Source organism: Homo sapiens, chromosome 3 (assembly GCF_000001405.40).
Source record: "Homo sapiens chromosome 3, GRCh38.p14 Primary Assembly".
In the NCBI taxonomy this organism is placed as follows: domain Eukaryota; kingdom Metazoa; phylum Chordata; class Mammalia; order Primates; family Hominidae; genus Homo; species Homo sapiens.
Window position 1 is genome coordinate 152,259,007 of NC_000003.12, and position 25,212 is coordinate 152,284,218.

Genomic DNA, 25,212 nt, shown 5'->3' on the forward strand with positions numbered 1-25,212 from the left:
CAAACTTCAAAGGTCTCCGAAGGGGAAAAACTGTCCTGGCTAAGTCTATAATTTAGGCTATCTTTAGAGAGTACAACTCCATAAAGAGAGAGGTCCAAGAAACCAGCTTCTTTTATACAATTAACTTTTTCTTTACTTAATTGTAAAGACTAAATGACAAGTAGGAAAGTGCTTTTGCAGAAGCGTGGGAGTCTTAAAGCTGTAGAAGGAAGAAACACTGTGCATGGGAGTAAGTATGTGGGTGGGAGTTATAGATTACTGCTCTTTTGCTAGTCTAGAATAACTATGCATAAACATCTTTATAGTAGTAACTTGAACAGAATCGTTAAACTTCTATTAAAGGCACTTGATACATCATTCAAAATAAGCACAGGTTACCTTATATCCAGAAACAGAAAAAAATCATTTTACATCCAGCCAAAAAAGATTTTAAAAGAGCCTTTGATTTTTGACAAAACAAGTGATAATAAAATTAAATTTTTATTTTATTTTCAAATATTAATCCAAAAGCCGACATGCTGTACTTCTTGAAGTTATCAAAGATAAGCTGGCTAGCTTTGTCTGTAGATATCATACCCTTAAAAGATTAAGCCCAGGAAGTGAATGACAGTAACACCAAAGACTGCAACAGCAAGAGCATAGTACTAATGATCAGTCAGAGATTTCTTCCGACCCTGCCTTTAGAGGCTATGTGATGGACACCTTGCCACTTAACACAAATAGTCACTATTTCATGCAACTAGTAATAGAATTCTGTCCTTACAAATGAAGAAGAATTCAATGTGCACATGTAGTACAAATACTGTGAAGACTTTCAACTATAATGTGAGACATTTGAATTCAATAAAAAAGGGAGAGAGCAATAAAATAATTATAATTGTTTATCTGTTTAGATTCACCAGATACACACTCTCATTTTTCTCATTCACTAAATTTTGCACATTTATATTATTTACTTAGTTGATCATAATTATTTACCATTTCATATTCATTGTCCTTGTTATACTGCATATTTCAAGAGGCTTCAGGTCTAGTTTTTCTTACCATGTAGCCTCAGACTCTAGGAAAGACTGGAATTATGCCAGGTGCTCAGTGACTATTGTAGACTGGATAGGAAAGTTGATAGCAATAAGGTTTAGAATGAAAATGCAGCAGTAACTGGTGAGCTGGTGACCTATGGCCAGAAAAGTTTGAAAAAGGAAAAGAATGCTCCACATTGTCTAAAAACACATTCATTACTGGGAGGGCTCGATGGAATCAGGCCCTGTCAGCAGTTACTCATTGCTAAGCCCATTGCAGAAACATGGGCATTCAGATCCATCCAGGTGGGGCCAGGAGGGTCAACTGGACTGACGGCACATTCACGAAGGCCATAAACTAAGATGTCTAGCATTATCTTCAAATGAGTTTCAAGTGAGGTATGTTCTGCTAACTTGTTTGTGTTTATAATTTAACTATGTTAATTTATTGAACGAATTTATAAAATATATTGAATGTACAGAATAGCTTTTGTTGAATACACATAATTACATGTATGAGTATGTAACTGGTGAAGATATGTATATCTTCAAAAGGAAGTGGCCAAGGACACACTTTATCTCTCAGAGGCTCTGATGTCACTCTCAAGGGGGTGCTTATAATCACAATTTCTTAGCAAGAGACAGGGTATAGAATTTTAAACAAACAGCAAACTAAGCATTTTAGAATATGTAGGATTCTCCTTTGTGTGATCTTAACTCTTTGTCTTATCTGTTTTTAATCCTATGGACCACTAATGCTTACCCGGCATAAAGTGAAACATATTTTGGTTGCCTAAGAAGCACCACTTCCAAGCATGTGCATGACAAAATGTACCACCTTGCACCACCAGTTTAGCTATCCACAGCTAGTCCTAACTCCCTCATTTCTAGATGCATATGGGCACCAGCCTACCCAAATCTAATTCTATATGAGATCGAGTTTCCTGCAGATAATTCTGTTTCTATTGAGCCAAATAAACTTTACTTGCCAAAGGAAAAAATGGAACAGGTCAATGGATTGCTACCTATTCTGGTTAATTTCCATTTCCTAAACTCTAGCTTCTTGCAGAGTTTAGGCAAGAAGCTGGCAACCTTGGCTGCGCTTTGAAATCATCTAAGGGGCTTAAAAAAGATACAGACGCTTGGATGCCCCTCCCAGAAATTTTGATTTAATTTGTCTGAGTTGCAGCCGGCCTATCCAAAATGTAGTCAGGGTTAAGAACCACCGCCCTAGTTTCAGTCTCCTCATTATGAGCATGGGGTCATAATTACCTCACATACCTCTTGTTTTAAGTTCAAGGAGATAATGTGTGACCTTAGAGTCCTTAACACTTTCATTACTCCTTTGCTTCATGAAAGACAAATAAAAAGGAAGGACATGGGGTTGGCAAGTCTGGGAAGGTGAGGAGGAGGGATCCTTCTGCAGAGTTCTTCCAATGAGCAGTTCATTAGGGTTAACAAGCTATCCTTTGTTAAAGCAAACGCTCTTGAGGGATTAAGCCTCATTCTCGCCTTAGTGTGAATGACTTTAATCAGATAATCTCCTATCACCTAGTTGAGGATTTGTTACCGAAAGCCTAGGGGAGGCAAAGAGAGAGAGTTGCAAGGCCAGTTTGGGATTCACTGAGGCAAGCCAAGGAAGCCTCAGCCTCTAGGAAAGAAACCTGACATGTAGTAAGCTTTCCATAATGACAGCATGAAAAATCTGAACAACAAACTTTCTCCTCATGTTGCTAGGACAATATTTGTTAAAAGTGTTTTTCTGATCAAGCCTCTTGTCTGTCCAATAGCCTTTCATGACTTTTTTTCTGACTTTCTTTCTGCCATGAAGCTCTTAACAAGTATCAGGTAGTTTTACCATTTGCCAGCTGCTTGGGAGTCCGTGAGGAGCAAGGCCTTGCCCAGTCCTATCCTCCTTGCCATCTGCTTGGCACATGGTAAGCACGCAGGGTTTGTTGAATTTAACTGAATGGTTTCATTTGCTACGCTCTTTTCCAACTGTGATTTTTCCCTCACGTCTGTCCCCAACCGCTAGACTATGAACACCTTGCAAAAGACTTAATAACTTCTTTATCCCCAGTGCCAAGCACAGCCCTTGGCACATAATCAGCAGTCAATGACTATGTGTTAAATGTATTAAGGAACAATAGCCAGTGTACTGATGCCTAAGTTAATATATTAAAATTAATTTATGACTGTACTGCTCAGTTCCCACTCTTTTGGACAAGGCAAAGAGGAAAGAAGAGAAAAAGAAACAGATATATGAAACTCCCACCATTTATTAATGGGACAAATGTTGTTCTTATTCAAAGGTCTCTTTAGAACATCTTTCGAGACATGATTTGAAGGTAATTTCAGGAAACTCAGATAGGCAAGAAGGAATAAGAGGAGCTAACAAAAGATCCACAGAGAGAACTCACACAATGGAATGAAAAGAGAGGGATGTGGAATATCATAGAAACCAAAGGAAAGGAACCTCAAGAATACAATGAGTAAGTAGATAGATACAGCCAACATTTAGGAACATTGACACTGCTATTGGCATTGTCAAAGATTGGTTTACCTTTAGAAATAAATAAGACAATGGCCATATTTTTTCATATTTGTTTTCTATATGGAACAGTGTTACTACGTAGAAATGTTTGGGTTACAGTACATAAAACAGTTTCACTACGACATTTATATTAAAAGCCCTATTAGATACTATTTTTAAAAGATTGCAAGGGAATTCTGGGCTAAATAACAACACAGAATTTTATGAAATGGTAGAAAGTGTTTTACAATATTACATGTAATTACATATTATAAGCATAAATAGATAATATGTCAATTTTGATCTTCTGGCTGTATTCTATATTTATTTTTATATCCGTTTAGTTTATTGAAAGACCACGATTGCATATTTACTTGTCTTTAACAACAGTCCATAGTAGAAGGTACGCATACATCCCAGGTAGAGTGTTTATAAATATATTACACATTAGACAGATGAATTCAGGAGCTTGGGGTACTGGCTGTGAAACACTGTGGGGCAGGAGGCTTGTCCTCTTGTTAGCTGCAAGGCTTTGGTCAAGGGCCAACTCTCCAGCTTCCATTACCTCATGAAAAATGAAGATTATATATAAATGACATGGGGGAGGTGGCCTTTGTTTTATAAGATTGTCTTAAAAGATTAAATTTGGAAAAGAAATTGCATATATAGTACAATATTAACTATGCTTTTAAAAATGCATTGGAAAAGCCTAGAAGGAAATAAACTGTAATACAAACAGTTCCCTATCTCTGGGAACTGGAAACACTGCTGATATCAAAATATTCTACCTTCACTAATTTCGAATTTTCTACATTGTGTTGACTCCAAATAATAAATAAGTCACACACAAACAGGCATACCACATCTCCCTTCCCTCAAGTTATGTTATCTCGAGGATCATGAGTCTTATGGCTTCTCTTCAACTCTGAGATGTAAGGTTCTAAGGTTTGTTGTACCCCATTGCCGAGGGTCTTCAACCAAATCACATTCCGCTGCTGGGTCCCCAGCCATTTGCTGTCTGTTGCCTCCTAGACAGAGCCCACTTTTGGTTTGCTGTCATTCTCAGCAGTGGTGGACTTCATGCAGTCTCTTCTGAGATTAGACTATCAGCCTTTACACAGCAGTCAAGAGTTATCTAGTTATCTTTGTGAAAACAAAATTTAGATAATGTTCCATCACCCCACCCCACCCCTGCCTCTAACATAATCAAACACTTCAATGGTTCCCAGTGAGGAAAAGTATCATGGTTGTAGCTTTGCATTTTGAGTGTGATTAATTTGATGGAGATTCATTTTTTCCCTCTTCCTTGACTGTAAGCTCCTTGAGGTTAGGTAGTTTTTGTTCACCATTGGCTCTCTAGCCCTACCATGAACCCTGGCCTTAGGGCTCTTGCCATGCAGTCCCCACTGCTTTGAATGCTCTTTCCCCAGTTATTTCTCACTTCACCGAGAACCTTGCCTGCATATGACCAGCTCAGTCCTCCATCCTGTTTCACACAACCTTCTCTCCCAAATCCCCCCAACCTGCTTTATTTCATAGCGCTTATCTCCATCTGAAATTACCTCATATGTTTATCTTTTATTTTTTATTTTTGACTTATTTTTTGTTGCTTGTCTCCCCCTAGTAGAATGCAACCCCTTTGAGGGAAGTGATTTATCTGTGCTGTTCATTTCTGTAACCACAGTACCTAGAATAGGAGTTAGCCATGGCTGATGCTCAATAAATGTTTGTGAAATGAATAGAGTCATTGTGTGAAAAGTGTTTTCTGTATGGAAAGAAGAAAGAAAGGATGAAAAAATAGAAAGAATAAAAGAAGGAAAAAATGAAAGAAGGAAGAAACAGAGGAAGGAAGAACTATACTCTTGGAAATCTCATGTAGCACCTCCTTACATTAAACTGGGGAAACTGTTAGGCCTATTTTAGAGCTTCTTCTTGTCCTTATTGTCTTTAAGAAAAAAAAAAAGACAATGAAAATGAATGGCCTGAGAGAGTCAGAAGACACTGATGTCAGTTCTGCTCTGCCATGGTGCCAAGTTCCTTAAATAATGCACTCCTCTGGTTTAACAAGGGAACAAGGCCAGATGCTCTCTAACATTCCATTCAATGCTAAAATTCTATGATTTTGAACTTTTAATTTCAAAATGTATTTGCTTACTGTCTCTCTATTGCCAGATCCTAAAATAATGATATTGAAGATACAGATTCAACTTTTAGGTAAAATAACTTAATTGAGAAATGCATAATATTTAACTGCTTTAAATTTCATAAACATTTAGTAGCAAATATATTGATTTTATATATTTTCACATTCATGTGCAATATACGTGTTATACATACAATATATTGTATTATATATCAAATATATACATAGTATCTATTAGAATACATATTTTTATTTTTAAATAATGAGCACAAAGAAATTGTGTTGTGTATGAAATATATAAAGGTCCTTGAAGATAAACTAAATTCATGTAATTCTTTCTCTCAAGTATATGTATTCAAATATCTGAACAAGTTTGAATTCTACAAAAGAAGGTCTCACCTCTCTCCTCAACCCTGTTGTGAAGTTTAATGTGATAAATTTAATGCATCTACTTAAACTTGATTCTCCATACAAGAATGTTTGCAACTTTTGATTGCCTTTTAGAGTCATCTTCTCTTGACCATCTATATTTAAATATTGATTAGGAAGCACAGGACATGAGACTAGGTTCTGGTTTTGACACCATCTTTCAATCAATTATTTTTATCCTGGTATAATAAAAATAGCATTTTAAAAGAGTATACCTCCTTGAGATATTTTTATTTAGGTGATTTGTTTGTGTGAGAGTGTGTGTGTGTGTGTGTGTGTGTGTGTGTGTGTGTCAGGAAAGACAAGTTATATTGCAGAGGCAGTGAGAGCTTATTGAGCTATGAATGTGGTATGCAGAAGAAGTAAGTCACAATTCACACAGGCACTCACACACTTACATAGGTACCTTAAATATCCCCATTGGACTGAAAAAGATAAATGCTGCCATTATCTTTATCTTTATTATTGGTAAACAAGGAGCTGACATTATCTATAAAAACCATATTCCTTAACTGTATTTTTATTGAGATTCATTGGTATAATTAAAACTTGAATGGACTGAAATATTTCAGGAACCTGCAGTGAACACTCTTTCCTTTATCTGAAAATGTAGTTTATTTCATCTGAAATTGTTTTCTATAATTTCCCTCTCCACCCATAAATGACCTTCTTTTTATACTCATGGATATACTCACTTATGAACCTGTAGACTATACACTTCACAGAAATAGGAGAAACCATAATGTTCTCCTGGCACTGAGGGAATATCAATGGTATTCTAAATGAGGAACTATTAACTTTTTATTACAATAATGATTTTTTAGTAATTTCCATAGTTTGAAATGTGGTTAGGATGCTACTGGCAGTTGAAAGCTGACAACATGATTGAATAGTTTTAACATGATCTGGTGTTTGTTACAGTGCTTTAAAATTTTAAATATTATCATTCATGTTATAATGTTATCCAGTGATAGTCAATTAGGCCAAATCAGTGGTAATTTAGTGTTATATCACAATTTATTTGGACTCGAGTTATAGATTGACCATTGCTTTGTGAGTTTTCTTAGCCATTCTGTTTTTCTGTATCTAATGTAAAATAACATTTTTTCTCCTTTTTTATTTACCAGGATGGTTATTCTACTGTTTCTAACATTAAAGGATCATCCTTGTATTTCTTTGTATTCTGTCATGGAGTAAAAAACATGTCTCATCTCAGTTTCCATTTCTCTTTTGCTCCCAGAAGTCCCCCCTCCTCCAGTGTTGAAGTAGAAATATAATTTCCCCTTTTGCACCATAAGCAGGTTCAAAAGTCCTGTGTTTCACCATGTTGCTCCAAACAGCAAATTTTCTAACCCACATGAAAAAAGAACACTACAGTTCTAACTTGGAATTCTACAAGGGTTTGAGAACAATTGAAAATAAATTTCTACCACTAGGATTAGTCCTTAGTGGTTCGCAGGCATTCTAAGCAGAGGGGCATGGAAGCTAGCTAGGGCACCAACCTGCTAGCAGATGCAAAGTTTGCTCTACTAAGAAGTTAGGCCTTTAATATCACAGACAATGGGAGGCAAAATGAAGACATAAAAAGGCAAGTAGCAAGCAATTCAGTAGGCTAAGCCAGGGATTTGAGAGTCTCCCAAGGCTCCTCCCTTCCTCATTCCCTGCATGAGTCATTTTTCCAGTCTGTCCACACCCATTCACCCCTCCATCCCACACTCTCATTCACCCTCCAAGCTGCCGTCACAGGAACTTTCTGCAATACAAGTCCAGACTCCATCTCTGGCCCTTGCTGCCTAAACTTTCCTAGTTCATTAGTTTTGGCAGTAAAGTTGAGACTCGTTAGATCAACACAGACCTACTTTTAGTGTCATCTCCTGCCACTCTCCTGTACTACCCTACCCTCGCTTCTCACAGAAAGGCTGAGAAGGCTGGCAGACCCCTTGTATATACCCTGCTCCTTTCGTTTTCTTTGAGACAGGGTCTTTTAATGTCACCCAGGCTGGTCTCAAACTCCTGGCCTCAATCCTCCCTCCATGGCCTCCCAAAGTGCTGGGATTACAGGTGTGAGCCATGCCATCCAGCCTGCCCTGCTCTTTTCTCTTCTCCACCTGGACTCTACTCCCTTTTGATCTTGCCAACTTCTACACACCTTTCAAGGCACCAGTTAAATGTAAATCCTCCAGGAACCCTTCCTTTGCCATCCTCAGAGCCCTCATTGGATTGCTTCCCACATACAGCACTTATCCCTTATGCAGAATTAATCGGTTTGTCTCTCACCTACTAGAGGCGTTATCCTTGAGTGTAGGGACTGTCTTATCCATTCTTGCATCACTGGCATAGTAGGCACTAAATGTAGTTGCTGAATGCTTAATAAGAGGAATGGAAGTCTTCGTAGCTTGGGGTAGATACTAATGGGCAGATAGAAAGTTCCCATCCCTGTTCTCTGAGAAAGTGTCAGTGTTCTTTTAGTTTGCTTAAACTGTGTGGGTACTTGAGTCCTTTTAAACGATTAACGCTGGGAAGAGGCACCATTTAATTAATTAATTTGTTCTGGAAGGGATCAGTGTACAATTTTAACTCAGTGCTTTGTGGATCTAGCTAAAGGTCAAGAACTAAAGTCGGCTATTAGTGCCTCTGGAAGATATTTCTGCACTTTAGCACCTTTCTGATGTTTTTCCTTCACCTCGAGCTGGCCTCACTCTCTTCAACAAAACCGAACCTGCAGGAAGAATGTTGTACCATATCCAGCATTTTTGTCCCAACAAACATGGGACAAACGTTTTTCACTAGAATCATCCTTGAACAAGTTATCCGAATTCCTTACATTCAAAGGAAATCCTGCCCCCAGTCTCCAAAACTTCATCACATCACAGACGTTCAGGATTCTTTCCATTCAAAGCAAAGCCAAGTTACATCTTATAGCACCCAGTGAATTATGATATGGGGCTGCGGTTTATTTGCTCTGGCGACAATATGGCTTACTTGCCGTGGAATATCCCGGTATTTCAGAAGTAACATATTATTTTTAAAGAGGGAGCTTTGCTTTCTCTAAATCACATGGTGCAAAGTTGGGAATACAGTGGCCTGTAAATTACAAATATTATTTACAAACTAGAAGGAAAGCTGACATGTGTTTGTGCCTGTGTGACAGTTTCACTAAGGAATTCCAAAACTGTGGATAGCCTGTTACTTGAGAAAAATACACGGTGGCAGTCTTGCAGATGTTTTTCCCGCCTGTTAGCCCTCCAGGTTCAAAAACTGTTTGGTGCATTTTAAGGCGGCAGTCTCACCAGATCGCAGGATTCTAGTCTAATTGGCTTCTAACCTTCAATCTAACCTTGCCGGCTTCCTTGCAAAGCCCGGTGCAAGGGCCTCTTTCAAAATGAACCCACTGGTGTGCCTAGCAGTCGGTAGAAGAAGCGGGAGGGCGTCCGGTCTGCACGCCCGCCGCGAGGTTACAATGCTGAACGCATGAGATGGAAGATACCAACGGGAGGCCGAGGGGATCCACGGCGCCCGCGCGGGCTCCGGCTTCCTCCTGCTCTCGGCGCCGCTGGGCGACCGCCCATGACCCGCTCTTGCGGGCTCTGTCCGGTTGACAGGCGACCCTGTGGCCCGGGGAAGCGCGGGAGGGCGCCGGCGGAAAGTTGAAGAGCGTTTTTCTCGCCGCCGCGTGCATTAGGAGCTCGACGAGTCCGCCCTGGGCTTCCTGGTGGGGCTGGGCGGGCGGGGGAGGGGCCGCGCAGCAGCAGCGGAAGCCAGACCTCGGCGATAAGAGGCTGCACAGCGACATGCAACAGTCTTTTCACTGCAGCTGAATGAGTTGTGGCGCCCACAATGCTCCCATGACAAGGAGCTGACAAGTTCCATTTTCCGTCGCGGGCATCTTGGAATCATGACTCCCACAATGCCTTGGGCACTTGGTCGACAGTGGGGCCGCCTCTGAAAAAAAAATGTGAGAGGTAAGTTTCCATTTTCACAGTTTCCCCGCGCCGCTTCATTGTTCGGACTCCGGCGGGTCTGCCCGTGGCTGAAGGAGGAAGTGCGAGGAGGTGCTCGCCGGCCGCGGTTCTCCCGGGCAGGGGCGGGCCGCTCGCGGTAGTTGGTTTCGCGTCCCTCAGCACCTCCTGCCCGGGGGAAGGCGGGAGGGTGAGCCGCAGCCGCTCCTGCGCCCTTCCCTGCCGCGGGCTCTGCGGACGCTGTCACGGCACAGCCCGCGCACGGCTTGGCAGCCCAGCGGGACCCAGGGAGAAACAGGGGGGCGAGAAGAGAAACAGGTGCGTGCAAGTGTACTCACAACTTAATGACCTTTGTCGGGGGAAGGTGTGAGTCCCTCTGAGTCGAGCGGCGCGCGGGTCTTCCCGGCGGCTCCCGCATCCCTGGCCCCGGGGCTGCCATCCCGCCCGGTTTTCATCTGGGCCAAATATGTGCACGCAAAGGTTAATTCTCTGCTTGCTACCCATAAATTACGCATGACATGTTTAGCTGGGCTGCCTTATATGGAGAGTGCTGTATTTCAGGCCAGTTTGCCTTTTGCCAAGTTTACAGGGCGGAAGACGCCCTGTAGGAGAGGGCTGCCTCCTCCTTTTCTTCTTCTTCTTTTTTTTTTCATCGTTTTGTAGTGCGTCACTCAAAAACTGTAAGAAAAGTAAGTATAGAAGCTCTTTGGGTGGAGCCGCAGTTGGTTGAATTGCTTTCATGAAAGGTTGAAAAGAATGAAAAGTAGTTAGTACTTGGGTTCTGGTTTTTAGACAAAAGCAGGACAAATATGTAGCCACCCCCCAACTTTTTTTTTTTTTTTTAAACGGAGCCGGAATCTGTTATTGGTAGTAATGTGTCATGTGAGAATACTTTGATTCCAGAGCCTGTAACACGAGCAGGTATATGGTGGCGCTTATGCCTTCCCCTCGCACAGCACTTTACAACTACAGGGGTGTTGCTGCCAGAGTAATATTGTATTCTTAAGGCTCTCTGGGGCCGGGAGAGTATGCGGCTGTTGGGATTCTGGGGTGTATTTCCGTGGAGTATGTCTCCCCAGGATTAAAGTTAAGAAGCTGCCGGAAAGGTTGTTGCCGCTGACTTCACTTTGTGTGCCCACCAGCACAGGCACAAGTCATAGCAGATGGATGGCAAACTCTGCCATATACTCTGAGGAGTTTCTTAAATTAATACGCTAGGAGAGAAGTCATAATTAATGCTTTTAGACTTTCGAGCCCTCTGCAGCGTGCTTTGAAATACTACACCGGTGGACACTATGTCCCTTCCTCCTGGGTTTGAACACAGTGTCTGTTTATACACAGAGGGTGTTTAGTACCTAAGTATTCTATACCAGCACAAGAGAGCCACTCCACAGTTATCTCTCTGTGTGGATTCCTAAGTGTGTTGGTGTTTCTCCTTGCTGTTGAGATAAAATATTATCACCCAGAGAGAAAATGAAAGTTCAACGACTGTAAAATTTATCCCAGGAATGTGCAGTTCAATACTTAGAATGTCTTAGATGTAGTTATAGATAGAGGCACTGAATAAGTTATTTTGTAGCCTGAGAATGCACATCGCTGTCACTTGTATCTTGCTTTCTTAAAGTTGGTGACAACTAAGGCTAAACTTCTTTAGAAAACCTAATGTTCTAGTTTTTATCTGTTTTGTGTATTTGCATGGGAGTTACTTTATTATTATTATTATATTGTTAGGTCTTCTTTGAAAATGTAGGCATAGCTTTTTTAGTCTTATTTGTTTAATGGGGGGTTTCCTTGCTGAAGACTACAAAAGTTGCCTTTTGTGTTTTAAGGAACAGGTTGGGTCAGCAACAGAAAACCTGTTCATCTATAATTATAGTGTCACTTAAGACATAATAATCAGATTTCATTATTACTAAGAGACTCAGAAAAACCTCACATATGCCTAGTTTAATTTTTTTCCTTATGTAACTGTGAACAAATTTGTGTGTAGATACACATCAAGTGTGGTACTCTGCGCAGTCATGCCAAAGAGAAACTGAAGTGTTATATGGTTTGAGATATTATTGCTTGTGTTTACATTTCCACATTTGAGGCAAAGTTAGACTCCAAGTTGAATTCATTAAATTTTGATTCCAACATTCTGTTCTTCCTTTGGGCACAGAATTCCTATGAAATGAAACACTGGGTTTTGTTCCAGAACAAGAACAGACTAACCCAAAATTTCTCCTGGGGGAAAAAAAAAGAGTAAAATTATATTTCTCATTGAAAATTGTATTTCTCATTGAGGAAGGGTGTGTTACTTTATTATATAAAATGCCTTATCTTCATTATAAGAAAAAAATGCCCTTGCATTTGTCACTGTTGCCATACATTAGGCCTGTATTTGATAGATCTATATGGAAACAGAGAATAAATAATCTTGCTGCACCTTCTGGCTTTCTGCTTGGTGATAGATGTGCGGATTAGAGAACATCTCAGGTCTTGGTTAGGAGAAGCTGAAAAGAATAGGTGATTGGGTTTTTAAAATTCTGTATGCAAAGGCATTAGGGTGGGTAGTAGATATGAGAGTCAAAAGAGTGGAGGAAAGAAGTGAAATAGGTTCACGAAGTGATTGGCCCAAAATAAAATCCCATCAACCATATGGATCATAGAGAATGTGACATAGAAAGATTTTAAAGTGTATGGTTTTTTTAGGCCAAAAAGCTTCATATGTTTGGAAATCTAGAATGTGCTGTCCAGTACAGTAGCCACATGTGGCTGTTGAGCACTTGAAATGTGTCTTGTCCAGATTGAGAAGTGTAAAATACTACCGGTTTTGAAAACTTTATATGAGGGGAAGAAAGTAAAACATCTGATTAATATTTTTATATTTATGATATGTTTTAATGATAATTTTTGATATATTGGTTCTAATAGAAGATCTTACTAGATTAACTTCACCTGTTTCTTTTCTCTCTCTCTCTCTCTCTCTCTCTCTCTCTTTCATGGTGTCTAGAAAATATAACAAATGTGGCTAACATCGTATTTATTTTGGACAGTGTTGTTCTAGGATAAAGCAGGAAAACAATATTCTGGGAGAAAGCTTAAAGATTTTGCTGGTCAAAACAATAAAATTGGCTTATTTTATTATACATAGAAATACCTCGTCTTTCTTATCCATTGTAACCAAAATTTGAGAAAACACACCACCTAACATCTATTTTTATTTCCTCAAAGCTGCTATTTAGTTTAGAGATTTGATGGTGAGGTAGTAATAATAGAGAAAAACTTATAATTAGAGAATGAGTCTTAACACCTCTCAAAGGCCAAAATAGAGTATGATTGTTACTTAGGAACATTTTAGAGACACTGTAGTTATCATTGTCCTGAAGTTACCAAACATAAACGAGTCACTAAAATTATTTTAAAATAGAGATTTTAGTAAATAGCAATTATCTTCAAATACTTAATATGTGTTTTCTTTTGCTAGAACTTTCTTTAGAAAGTTAAAAAAAAAAACCCATATCCAAAGTCCTGAGCAAATGTTAATAAAAGATTGCTGCATTCATAAGAATGAAAGATTTTTACCTGCAGATAGGAGGGTATTGTTTTGAATATTAGCAAAGGTGAAAATGTGTTTCTAACGTAACATTATGGGCTCTGAAGAATTTCTATACATGGAGACACTGTCTTTATAATTTGAACACATTCTTGAGAAGGCATCTGACTGGTAAACAAAGCACAATGGCATAGGTCCTGGAAACATTCCTTTCAGATATTTTCATAACTGAAGTACATTTTGCCATTCACAGTGAGTGTTAAGCTGAAAAAAATGTGGTTCTTTTCTAGCCATATAAAGTATGCTTACTATTATTTTCTCGAAGGATGCCAAAAAATGTAAAATGGATGTTGTGGATTCTTCGTGGGGAGGTTAGCTAGTTTGTATATAGAGCCTCAAGAAGAGTTGCCTCAGCTTGGTGCCATCTTGAGTCTGTCTTCCACTAGATGAGGCATAGCTTCCATTAGTGTCAGTGCGTGTGTGGAGGGTGAGGGGAAGAATGATCCCCATTAACTTTGTATATTGTTTCTGATGAGTCATGGAGCATATTCACTAATGGTTGGAGAATTATTGATTGCAAGGCAGAGGATTCAAGAAGAGCTATTGGCATATGGCATTAACTGTCTCTAGACATATTTTTTATTTTTAAATTTGAGGTAGAGAAATCGGTTTTTACGTAGTGTTTTTCATATTATAAAAAATAAACGTTTATATAAGCATTACAGATACATCCTTGAGGAAAAAAATAGTAAATACATGGTTATAGTTTTCTACATATTACCAGTTTTTTTCATAACAGATCCAGAACATCTCTTTCAGATAATCGTTCATGTTTTTAGAGAGGCATCTCATCATATGTGCCTGTGAAATCTGTAAAAATATGTGTAACACACATCTTGAAATATTTGTGTTAGGAGAATTAAGTCTTACACATTTGGTTCTTTTTCTACTGTTTTTGATTATGTTCTCTAGGTTACTATGATTATCTTTTGTTAAAACAGTTCAGGAAATATTAATCTCAAAACGAAATGTAGCCATATTGGACAGAGTAGAGAATTGCTTTTCCACAGAGACCAGTTATTCCAAAAAGGTGAAGATGTTTCTGAAATAATATCATGCTCATATGCTCCAAAAGAAAAACCATCATCTCTTTTGACATTCTTTTAGGAAACTGAGAGATGTATGTTTTATATACCAAAAGAGGTGAATAATAGTTGATAAAGGTATGCAAAATACATACTCCTGTGAAGTGTGAACATACAATTTGTATGTAACGCATGCATGAGCATATAACTTTCCCCAAGACAATGCCAATTTATTCAAATCACCTGAATGTTAAATAATATCATACTATTAAGAAGAATTGTGGTAAATATGAAATCTAAATACCAGTGATGATGTCCATGCTGATGTCAACTCCATTCCAGTCCTGCTTTAGCTAAATTCACAAAATGAAGAGATGTCTTTCTCCAAAGTAGTTTTCCAAAAATTTGTATTTGACACTGGATTTTTTCCTACGTTTTCACTTTTAAAAGTTTAGAAGCTATTAACTAAAAATGAACTTGTTTTAGAGAGCTAAGAAGATTCTAGATTTATGGGGACATTTAGTTCTATGAAATAAGCATTACGTTGCTGACTTGAAATATTATTCTATCATATAAAGTTGATTTATAAGTGAATACATATTGTGAAAAAATACCACAGTAGACTTAGTGAAATCTACCAAACTTAATCAAGATAGATATACGTTGTCCTCAAAAAAATAAGAATCTGGTAGGGAAAATAAGAGCTTCGAAAATAACTATAAAGTAGAAAGTGATATTTAATAAACAATGGCTGGGTAACATGGTATGAAAGTTCAGATAAGGGAAAGTCTTAAGATAACTCTGACTTGACCCACATACATGTAATAAAGGGAACAGTCCTTAAATGCATAAATAATGGGAACAAAAGGTATTCAGTATTTTTCAGCCTTAGCAAAATATTATTCTGTTAACGCAGTATTCTATTCAGCAATGGTTCCATATTTTCCATATGTTTATAGATAACATTCAGATATCGAATTTTCATATATGTTTTAATTCATTTATTTATTTCTTTTATCTAGGAGAAATATAATGGTTTCCAAATGTCCTATACTAGATTATTGATAGATTTTGTCATTAGTTTTACTATTGAATACCATGAAATATCAGCTGTTGCAGCCACTAAATAGTTACAAACTGTTGGTACTACAGTTTACTAGTCAATCCATGGTTATATGCTTGTGCTATGCTAAATATAAAGGATTCAAGATGAGGACTTAAGCAGTTCATATTTGTATTTAGAATATTATCAAAGATATTTTCTTAACTTGTCTCAGTATTAGAATTTACAGCCCATTTTCAGCTTATTGTATCCAGAAATTTCAATCATATCCAATAATTTATCAGCATTTGTTGATGACAGTAAAAGTGACACATTAGCATTTTATTTGTTTCTGTGTTGTTTGATTACAACAGTGACATTTTAGCACTCTTTGTGGACGGATAACTCTTCTAGTAGAAAGAAAGCAGGAGGGTGGTCAAGCTAAGTGACAGATACAAAGAGTTGGAGGACATAGGGCTTTCTGTGGGTAAGAAATGGATGAGAAAAGCTTTATGTCACTGACTAGGCTTGCAATTCAGTATTCCCCTATCAAAGGCCCCCTTACTGATGTTTCTGTTTACCAGATCTTGGTTTCAAGATGCCAGGTTCTGAAGAGATACACCACGAGTTCTTATAAACACTATATCTAAATTTGGTTTGAAAGTCTAATGTTTGGCTGTGTGCAGTGGCTCACACCTGTAATCCCAGCACTTTGGGAGGCCGAGGCAGGCAGATCACGAGGTCAGGAGATTGAGGCCGTCTTGGCCAACATGGTGAAACCCCGTCTCTACTAAAATACAAAAAATTAGCTGGGCATGGTGGCGCATGCCTGTAATCCCAGTTACTTGGGAGCTGAGGCAGGGGGATTGCTTGAACTCGGGAGGCGGAGGTTGCAGTGAGCTGAGATCATGCCACTGCACTCCAGTCTGGCAACAGAGCAAGACTCTTGTCTCAAAAAAAAAAAAAAAAAAAAAAAAAAGGCTAATGTTTATACCAGGCAGGTAGAAAAACAAAAACGGACCTCATTAGAGGATACATGAGGTTTCTAAAAGTGGAACTCCTTTGTAAATGTAAGAAGTGATATCAATATTATTATTATTTTAATATACTTATTTTGAAGTAACTAAGTTTTTTTGTTTATTTCTTGAAAGAAACAATAGATTGGGGAAAAACCATTTACTCTTTTCATGCCCTAGTTTCTAAATCTGTGACATTATAAAGGTGTAAATATTTATGAAAATAGTAGAAGTTGCCACTGGCTGTATTCTTTTAAGTAAGGTATCTCATTTAATCTTTTCTACTGTAAAGTAGCCGTAAAGTAATAAGACTTTTACCTTAAAGATCATGACTAGAACAATTTTTTCATTTGCGGAGATATGAGGCTTGTCATTTTTATTATTCCAATGTTCATGTTTTTAACCAATTTTTCTTGTCTTGCCTCCACTGATTATATATAAAGAATAGCGATGAGAATATAGCTGTAATTATGATTACTAACATCTTTGAATACTTTCTGTGTGCTAAGCTAAGGTTTATAATTAATTCATTTATTCCTCAGAACAACCCTATGGTATAGGTACTGTTAATATTCTGATTTTACAGATAGGGGAACTGAAGCACAGACAAGTCCAATTAATTGTGCAAAGGTACTTAATTAATAAGTAGCACAATAAGGAGTTGAACCAAGGTAGCCCAGCTTTAGAATCCATGCTCCTGTGTAAAAGAATAAAAACAGATTTTAAAAATACTTATTTTGGATGCTGATAGGAGCTTGAGAACATAAACGTTTGGAATACTTTAAAAGACTTGTACTTTCTACATCATTTGAAGAGATTCCAGAAGAATGGGCAGAAAGTAAGAGGATAGAGAGAAAAGGCCTGGGGTGAGGGGTGGGAAGCATTAATAGGATAGGAAGAAATGAGGAATCAGGTGTTCAAGGGAGATTGGTGCTACACTTTTGAGGTCATTGATGACCAGCTAGTAAGTTTAATAATACGTAGTGTGGAACATAAACAGACACTTGGTGTTTAGGGTAGTAACCTTACAGGAGTTGTGTTTTGGTGACATTTTATAGGGGTAGGACACATATAGAATGAAGTAGAGATTGTGGTTATACAGAACAGAGATGAGGGACTAGATGAGGGGAGTGGCCCTAGAATGAAAAGGAGGACATGTATGCTGAGAGAAATGTGATAAGGTTAGGCTGCATAGGATGTACCAGCTGACTGGATGTGGATATTAAAGGCAATGGGGGTATTAACAATTATTTTTAAAATACAGCAAGAATTTAAAAAACTTTTAATCAATCAAAAATTCCTTATTTAAGAATTATATAAAATATCAGTAAGTGAAAAACATTTAAAATTGTATTTTATCAGGGATTATAACTTAAGTAGAAGATACATGTTAATTTCTTAAAACATTTCATTTCTGTGCTAAGCTCTTTCAAAGCACTGGATGGTGATCTAAAGGTCACCAAATTCTTTGTCCCAAATTGGTAATTTTAAAGTAAACATAATTTCAACGTTAGGCCTATTTTGTTATTTGCTGAGAAATGTCTCAATGTCAACCAGGCAGTTCTCCTCTCTTATTAAAGTCCATGCTCAGAATGCCTGTGTAACCTATCCTTAGTGATAAACAAGGTGGCAGATAGATACATGATAAAACAAGTTTGCCATGTGCTCAATGTGGCTGACATTTATACTTCTCAGACCTTGCTATTTTAGGGAAGGTATCAGTATAACCAGGGCATTCTTTTTCCTGGAACTAAAAATCCTTAATAATCAGTCACTATTATAAACAGAATGATTTACATACAGGAATCAATAAACAGTTGCTTTTGGTTAATGGTTATCTGGAGTAGGAGGATAGTTATATTTCAAATAGAATAGAAAGCTTTATTGGAATACTTACATGTCTTTTTAGTTTGAGGACCTTACAAGCTTTTTACAAATAAATGGTTTAAAATAGTTTAAACAGAAAATGTCAGAACATTGATAGATTATGTTTTATTTAATATACAGAGAAAAATTCCCATGAAATAAAGACAGTTTTCAAGAAAAATATTCTATTTATAAATATTTACAACTTATTAGTTATTTAGATTGCCCGTGTCCATAAAAATAATACAGAAATTACACTATTTATGTCTTTAAATATAGCATGTTTCTATAAACTAGAGAATAATGTTGACAGTATTTTATTTTGCCTTTGTTAGTATTATGTGAAAGTCACACTTATTACATGCCTTTTTCTATTATTAGACTTTTTTTCCTATCTAGTTTTTGCCTTGTGCTATACAGTATGGTGAAAATCTATTTAGCTATGTCATTAAGATAATGCTTAGAAAATGCTAATTTTTAAGTAACTAAGATTAAGTAGTATTGGATATTCTTTGCCTTCTTTATTATTCTGTCATTGGGCTAATTTTAACTAGACAAATTTATTCCAAAGTATTTTGAGCCATTATTTGAACTTCATTGCTGTAACATTCAGGAAAAACTGCATTGTCTACCTAGTGGCATTCAGATAAGGCATTTGGTCTTAGGTACCTCTTCCAAAAGACTTTTAAGAGGTTTGATAAGCATAGCAAAAGTGAACGACGGAGGATACAAGAAAATCTTTGATCCAGGAGTAGTCTCTCTGAAGCATTGCATGACCTTTCCAAAAAATAATTTGAGAAGTGCCTAACAATAGAAAAATATATATTTTTTCCTTCAATAGGAAAGACTTTAGAAAAAATATACTCAAGTAGAATTCTGCATAATGCTTTCTGGGGGACCACATTTGCTGAAAATTGCCTACGGGAAATGACTTTCTCAGAGTGATATAGTTTTGAGGACTGAGATTTTAAAAGTAAATATTTTATTGGGAGCAATTAATTTAGGAAGAATAGTATTATGCCTATTCCTCTGTAGTTGATTAAAGTTTACTAAGTGCTGAGGTCTTTTCCCTTAAAACATTACTTTGCCATGTTAACAATCAGGTCATAGAGGAATGAATTCATCTTTTGTGTTTTGCTAAATAATCAGTTAACAAACATATTCTGAGCACGTTTAAAGTCAAAGGATTGTAGTAGGTCACAAGAGGGAGATCGAAAGTATAATTACATAGTGTCTTTCCTTCTTTGACATACAATTGGGTTGAGGAGAAAGACTTGAAAACTTAATGCAAGGCACTATACAAGTTAGTACCAAAGGAGGAAACTGAAAGAGGGAAGGAAATTCAAAGAAGGAAGTTTTTGTGGAACTGAATGGCAAGGGAATGCTGTGGGGAAGAGGGGGCATCTGTCATAGGCCCAAAGATTAAGCACTCTTTTCGGAATATGGAGTGACATAGTAAGAATAAGGTGGAAGTAGTGATGAAAGCTACCATATTTGAGCAGCGTCTTTTCTATGTGAGGCCTTGCTAGCTTATGTTGTTTTTGGAAAAAAACAGATAGACAACCTGGTAGTGATAGTAGACAATGAATGAATTGGGCCGGTGAGTCAGGAATCATCATCCTCTTAGAGGACACAGACTTAGAGAAATTATCTTATTTGCCTAAATCCACATAGCTGGTGATCAGCCGAACTGAACAGAAGCCAGGTCTTTTCATACTTCAAAACCAGCATTCCCCAACCCCATCCCTCCCCATCCCATGATTCTGTTGGGAATGAGTGTGGCATGTTTATGACATAGTAATTTTAAAACTTCACCCATACAACAACTGACATAAGTCAAGAAGATAGAAATTTTATTTAAAAGGCTGTCAAATGTATTTTCATCTTTTTTGCTTTGATGATGGGTTACAAATAGCGTATCGTTTGACAAATGCTTATACTCTGTTTCTTGGATTTGTAAAAAAAATAAAACAAACTAGGCCTCCCATCTTCAGTAGATATGGTATGGAGTTGCAGTATCATGATGTTGTAACAGTGCATTTCGCAGTAGGTAGACCCATTTGGGATTCCCTCAGAGGAAGCTTGTGAAGTTTGAAGATAATGTACTTTCTCACCAATAGTATGAGGCTATAAAATTTTCACCAAGAAATGATAGGGGCAAAAGTTTATAGATCATGGTTGTTTGATTATTTTATGCTTTTATGTTACATCATCTAATTTATACATCAGTCTCTGCTCTCTGTAACTTTACATGTGATGTAGCCTGTGACTTTAAAAGATAAGCTGTTAATTGTAGAGTTGTGCTGTTGGAGACCTGTCACTTTGCTAACAAATTCCTCTCTTCATAGAGCTATTTAGAACATATGGCAAATAAAATTATGTGATTATGTGTTTTTAGAGAAAAATTTATTTATATAAAATGAAAGTCTTTGCTTTTGGCTGCAAAAGAAAGCATCCTTAATAGCAAATATTGATTGCAGTGCCAGTGTGCCATGTATCATGCTATACCCTTTGGAGGAAAAAGAGGTAAGATGTGCCTGTTCTCAAAGTAATTTCCAGTATAGTGATAGAAATATTCACAAATAATGGACGGGCAAAACAAAGTGGGCACAAAGAAGCCAAGAATAAGCTGTTTGTGGGCAGAGTGTGGAATTTGCCTAAAACCATTCGGTAGACAGGTTAACTCTTTAGATACTTTGTATATATTGGAGAAGAGACAAAATCAACTCATAATTTATTAAAATGATGTGATTTGATATGTACACCATTTAGTTTTTCTGTTCAAGTATTTGGTAAATAAGTGTGATGCCAGCATAGTATCATCCTGGACTAGACAGAAGAAATTAATTTATTTCTGATGCTGGCAGTTTTGGAGAAAGGTGGGCACATACGGTTCATCTGAATCTTCCTCATGCTAAATTCTTGATTGGAAGCAGGTTAAAACACTCAGGTTAACGTTTATGTTAACAGAAAAGAAAAATCAGTCAGAGAGAGGTGCGTTGTATTTAACATTAATGACAGAGAATTTTAAATATGCACATGATTCTCTTTTTCCTCCAGCTTTTCTTTCTGCACAGGAAATAAAGCTGTATTTTGTAGGCCAGCTTCCAGACTTTGAAATGGTGAAAGTGCAACTGTGCATATTCTTCTATAAGACCCCATTCAGCTGTGACGTGTTGTTGTTTCCAAGATTTAATCTGCATTCTAGTTTAGAAAATTCAGGATTTTATTGCTTATTATTATTCATTTTTATTCATAAATATTTGTTTAAAGCCCATTACATATAAAGTTTTACTATAAGATTTTAATTGAAATTTTTAAGACAAATTAAGAATATGGTTTCTGATTTTCTGAAGTTTATGGCCTATAGAAAAAGGTCCATTCATAAGTGAAATAATAAAAGCAAAACAACAAAAGACTCGAGCTTTAGCCATTCTAGTAATTATTAAAATAGCTACTTTCTTCGTAGGAACTTATTATTTTACATGTGTGATCCCATAGCTCTTACACAATTCTGTGTGATTTAGGCATTGCTATCTTTCTGGCTCCCAAGTGAGAAGATTGAGGCTTGGAAAGATTAAGGTTAGGGGATTTGCTCAAGGGTCATATGATAAGGTACTACTGTGAGAGCTGAGATCTCAACCCAGGAGTTTTGCTGTTTTTCTGCTTGTTTATTTCCATCAGTATGGTATGAATTAGGCACACAAATACTCATTGCATGTAGATTTGGGACCTACTCCAAGTTAATTCTGGAAAGACTCAGTGAAGAAGATAAGATGTGGAAGAGGTTTTTTTTAAGCATTATGGTCATGAAAGAGCAGACTATGGAATGGACTTTGAAGTTTCACTAGCTTTGAAAGGAGGGGTATATCAAATGGCCTAATCTGCCTGTGTGGTTTGCTCAGTATTAGTTCTACTCATACCTAATACCCTCTGCCCCAGCACTCGCCAAGATCAGCAAAATCTACTTTTAGACTCAAAATCATTACCACCTGTGAAGTTTCTGATGTCGCTTCTGAGTGACATAGCACTCTGTCAATTGCTCTGTTGGATGGCTTTGCTGAATGGCACCTTTTAAGAAGTGCCTTGAGCCCCAAAAGAGTTTCAAATGCTCTTGTAATCTATTCAGCTGCATTATTGAAGATATTAGGGTAATTCAATTCATTTTTTCATCACTAAAACATAGAAATCTGTTGCCAACATTAAAATAGACAAACATATCATTGAAAATTTAATAGCTCTACATTCACTTGGAGATTTCCGATAAACTTTTCTCACTTTCCCCCAAATCCTTAATAATTAGAGCATGTCCATGTGTGTATGTGTGCATGTTTTTGTGTCATATCCCTATGTGTCTATATATATATTCCATAAATGATTGTGAAGTGGTACACAAGTTGTAGCTAAAAATGAAATAGAATAAATGTATGAAGCTAAGGGATCCATTCTCCAACTAATGCGTTAGTTGACAAATTTGCTCTGAAATATTGATACCATTTTGTGATTCCCTGTATTGAATACAAGTATGGGCTTGTGAAAATATAGTATCCACAGACCCTAATTAGAAACAAAATAAAGGTATTCTAATATACCTATGCAAATTTAAAGTTTTAACTTATTCATATAACAGTTTTCAGCTTGTCAGTGACCTGATATCAATGGATTTGAAAATGATTTTACCTTTAAGTACCAAGAATTCTTAGGGACATGTGTGTGTGTGTGTATTCAGATTAAAGATTCCATGCTAATATACTAATTTTTTGGCAAGAAAATTAAGCACCTGTATTTCAGTTTAATAGTACTGTGGTAAATGAAATATATTAAACATGCAGATTCTGTTACATTCACCTAATATTAATTTGAATTTTTAATATTCTAGGCACTGTGCTAGATATTGAATACATAATGGTAAACATAAACAGATAGTAAACAGTTATAAAATTTAGACATCTCTCAATTTTCAAATTGGCCATTGCAGAAATAGTGACATTTTATTAGGTTTTGTTGCCACAAGATTTTCAATAATTAAAAAAAAATTATTTATAGATGCCAGTAAATATTTATTTTACAGCATCTAGATGCCAGTAAATATTTATTTTACAGCATCTACCAATGTTAGATTTACTATGCACGAAGGAAGGATTTTATTTTCATGTAAAGAAAAATGCCATTTTATGCTTAGAATCAATGCTTTACAATTAAACAAGAGAAATAGCATCACAAAATAATACGGGAAGAGAAAACTCATTTTGAGTAGCAGCAAAATATTGTGAGTTTAAAAGGTCAGGCCAGTACAGGAGGCTCCAGTTTTGCCACTCACTATGCAGAATGCTGTGACAGCCAGGGCTGATACAGCTGAAAATATCTGCAGCTTTGGAAGCCTTGTAAGTTTCAGAAGGTCATTTTGGCATCATGATAGGAGCACAGATTCACATGGAAGGTCAAACTGGACAGCCAGGCAGGAAGATAGGTTGCTGAACCCAGTGCTTGTAGATTTTAGAGCAATCACCAACTGCAGTAACTGAGTTTTTTAATTCAATGCAGCCATCTTTCATTGTAATGTTTATTGGGGAATGAGCTTTACTTGGTGGGGAAATTATAAATTACCTTCTCTCTTCTGAAACCTAAGTGTTGCATCTACAACTTTCCCTGGTATCAAGACAAATGTTACTTTAATTTTATTTACGTGTGATATATACCCCATCAAGCTTACAAAAGTAAAGTGCACATCAGATAGGACTGTTGTTGTTGTTGGTGGTGGTGTTTTTAATCAATTAGAAGGCAAAGAAATGAAACAAGTACTTATGATGAAATTGAGCACTAAATTTATCTCTCAGCTTCCTGGCAACTGAAGCAGAAGCTTTAGGAAGTGAAAAAGTCCTGAGTTTATTTAATAAGATTTCTTCAGATCCCATACACTGTCTTATTCTTAGCCCTTTGGGTGTTTAGTTAAATATACTGACTCTGCCCTTGGGTGAAGTCTTGAATGGGTGAATTCCAATTACTAAAAAAGTGAAGGCTGAATTCTTTAGCCTGCCTTTAAGGCCCTTACTGATTTGGCTTCAGCCCAAAGTTCCAGGGTCATCTTCTGCCAGCCCCATTACATACAGGTGTTCCATACAGACCAGTTCTTCCAGTGTTGATATGCAGTGCTTTCCCACATCCCTGCCATTACTGTCTGGATTTCTACAGTTTGGATTTCTACTCCTTTTTGTCTCTAACCAAATGAAACTTGTCCTTCCAGACCAACCTTCCATTTCTTATCCCTTTTGAAACTAACCTTGACCTCTCTCTTTAACTTACCAAGCTTTCTTGTTACCTCTACTGTGTACTTCTCGCTTCCTTTTTTATATATAGTTATTTGTGTGTTAGTTTTATACCTTTAATTAAACATCAAATTCTTAAAGGCTGGATCCAAGTATTCTCGCTATATCTAGGCTACATATAAAAGGTGGTCAATACACAGTTAATATAATCAATACACATATTTTATGTGTATTATATATTGTTAATGAATATATTCATTTAATAAAGTTACTGTTGAATGTATTTGAATTTCTTGAAGGAAAACATTTCTTTTCC

General features: G+C 37.0%; 1 protein-coding gene and 1 long non-coding RNA gene across 111 annotated transcripts in view, besides 7 other annotated features; one reads left to right on the top strand and one right to left on the bottom strand.

Annotated features, from left to right (window-relative positions):
- MBNL1 (muscleblind like splicing regulator 1) overlaps positions 1-25,212 on the top strand; it is a 222,149-nt gene that overhangs the window by 15,375 nt on the left and 181,562 nt on the right. For 61 of the 109 annotated variants that reach the window (NR_164857.1, NR_164858.1, NR_164861.1 and 58 more), the window contains exon 1: positions 9,923-10,086. The exons of 20 other annotated variants lie outside the window; for them this stretch is intronic. The gene's annotated coding sequence lies outside the window, so the exon portion shown is untranslated. Of the gene's footprint in view, positions 1-9,922; positions 10,773-25,212 lie in introns of those variants that run through there. 28 more of the 109 variants (NM_001387783.1, NM_001387787.1, NM_001387793.1 and 25 more) reach the window with 6 other exon arrangements.
- Positions 2,103-2,792: an enhancer, noted in NCBI's record as "NANOG hESC enhancer chr3:151978898-151979587 (GRCh37/hg19 assembly coordinates)". NCBI's record gives its function as "activates a minimal SCP1, AML or CMV promoter by ChIP-STARR-seq in naive H9 embryonic stem cells {active_cell/tissue: H9 hESC(naive)}" and the evidence as "EXISTENCE:reporter gene assay evidence [ECO:0000049][PMID:30033119]".
- MBNL1-AS1 (MBNL1 antisense RNA 1) lies at positions 3,610-10,620 on the bottom strand. 2 transcript variants are annotated; one of them, NR_027037.1, is made up of 2 exons: positions 10,433-10,620; positions 3,610-10,066 (listed from the first exon to the last, which is right to left on the bottom strand). It is a non-coding gene; the product is annotated as an MBNL1 antisense RNA 1 (long non-coding RNA). The 2 variants fall into 2 exon arrangements; NR_027038.1 differs by having other exon boundaries at positions 10,422-10,620.
- Positions 9,126-9,968: an enhancer, noted in NCBI's record as "H3K27ac-H3K4me1 hESC enhancer chr3:151985921-151986763 (GRCh37/hg19 assembly coordinates)". NCBI's record gives its function as "activates a minimal SCP1, AML or CMV promoter by ChIP-STARR-seq in naive H9 embryonic stem cells {active_cell/tissue: H9 hESC(naive)}" and the evidence as "EXISTENCE:reporter gene assay evidence [ECO:0000049][PMID:30033119]".
- Positions 9,411-9,510: an enhancer, noted in NCBI's record as "active region_20706". NCBI's record gives its function as "activates an Ori minimal core promoter by ATAC-STARR-seq in GM12878 lymphoblastoid cells {active_cell/tissue: GM12878}" and the evidence as "EXISTENCE:reporter gene assay evidence [ECO:0000049][PMID:35858748]".
- Positions 9,701-9,760: a silencer, noted in NCBI's record as "silent region_14823". NCBI's record gives its function as "represses an Ori minimal core promoter by ATAC-STARR-seq in GM12878 lymphoblastoid cells {active_cell/tissue: GM12878}" and the evidence as "EXISTENCE:reporter gene assay evidence [ECO:0000049][PMID:35858748]".
- Positions 9,811-9,860: a silencer, noted in NCBI's record as "silent region_14824". NCBI's record gives its function as "represses an Ori minimal core promoter by ATAC-STARR-seq in GM12878 lymphoblastoid cells {active_cell/tissue: GM12878}" and the evidence as "EXISTENCE:reporter gene assay evidence [ECO:0000049][PMID:35858748]".
- Positions 9,969-10,810: an enhancer, noted in NCBI's record as "H3K27ac-H3K4me1 hESC enhancer chr3:151986764-151987605 (GRCh37/hg19 assembly coordinates)". NCBI's record gives its function as "activates a minimal SCP1, AML or CMV promoter by ChIP-STARR-seq in naive H9 embryonic stem cells {active_cell/tissue: H9 hESC(naive)}" and the evidence as "EXISTENCE:reporter gene assay evidence [ECO:0000049][PMID:30033119]".
- Positions 10,261-10,370: a silencer, noted in NCBI's record as "silent region_14825". NCBI's record gives its function as "represses an Ori minimal core promoter by ATAC-STARR-seq in GM12878 lymphoblastoid cells {active_cell/tissue: GM12878}" and the evidence as "EXISTENCE:reporter gene assay evidence [ECO:0000049][PMID:35858748]".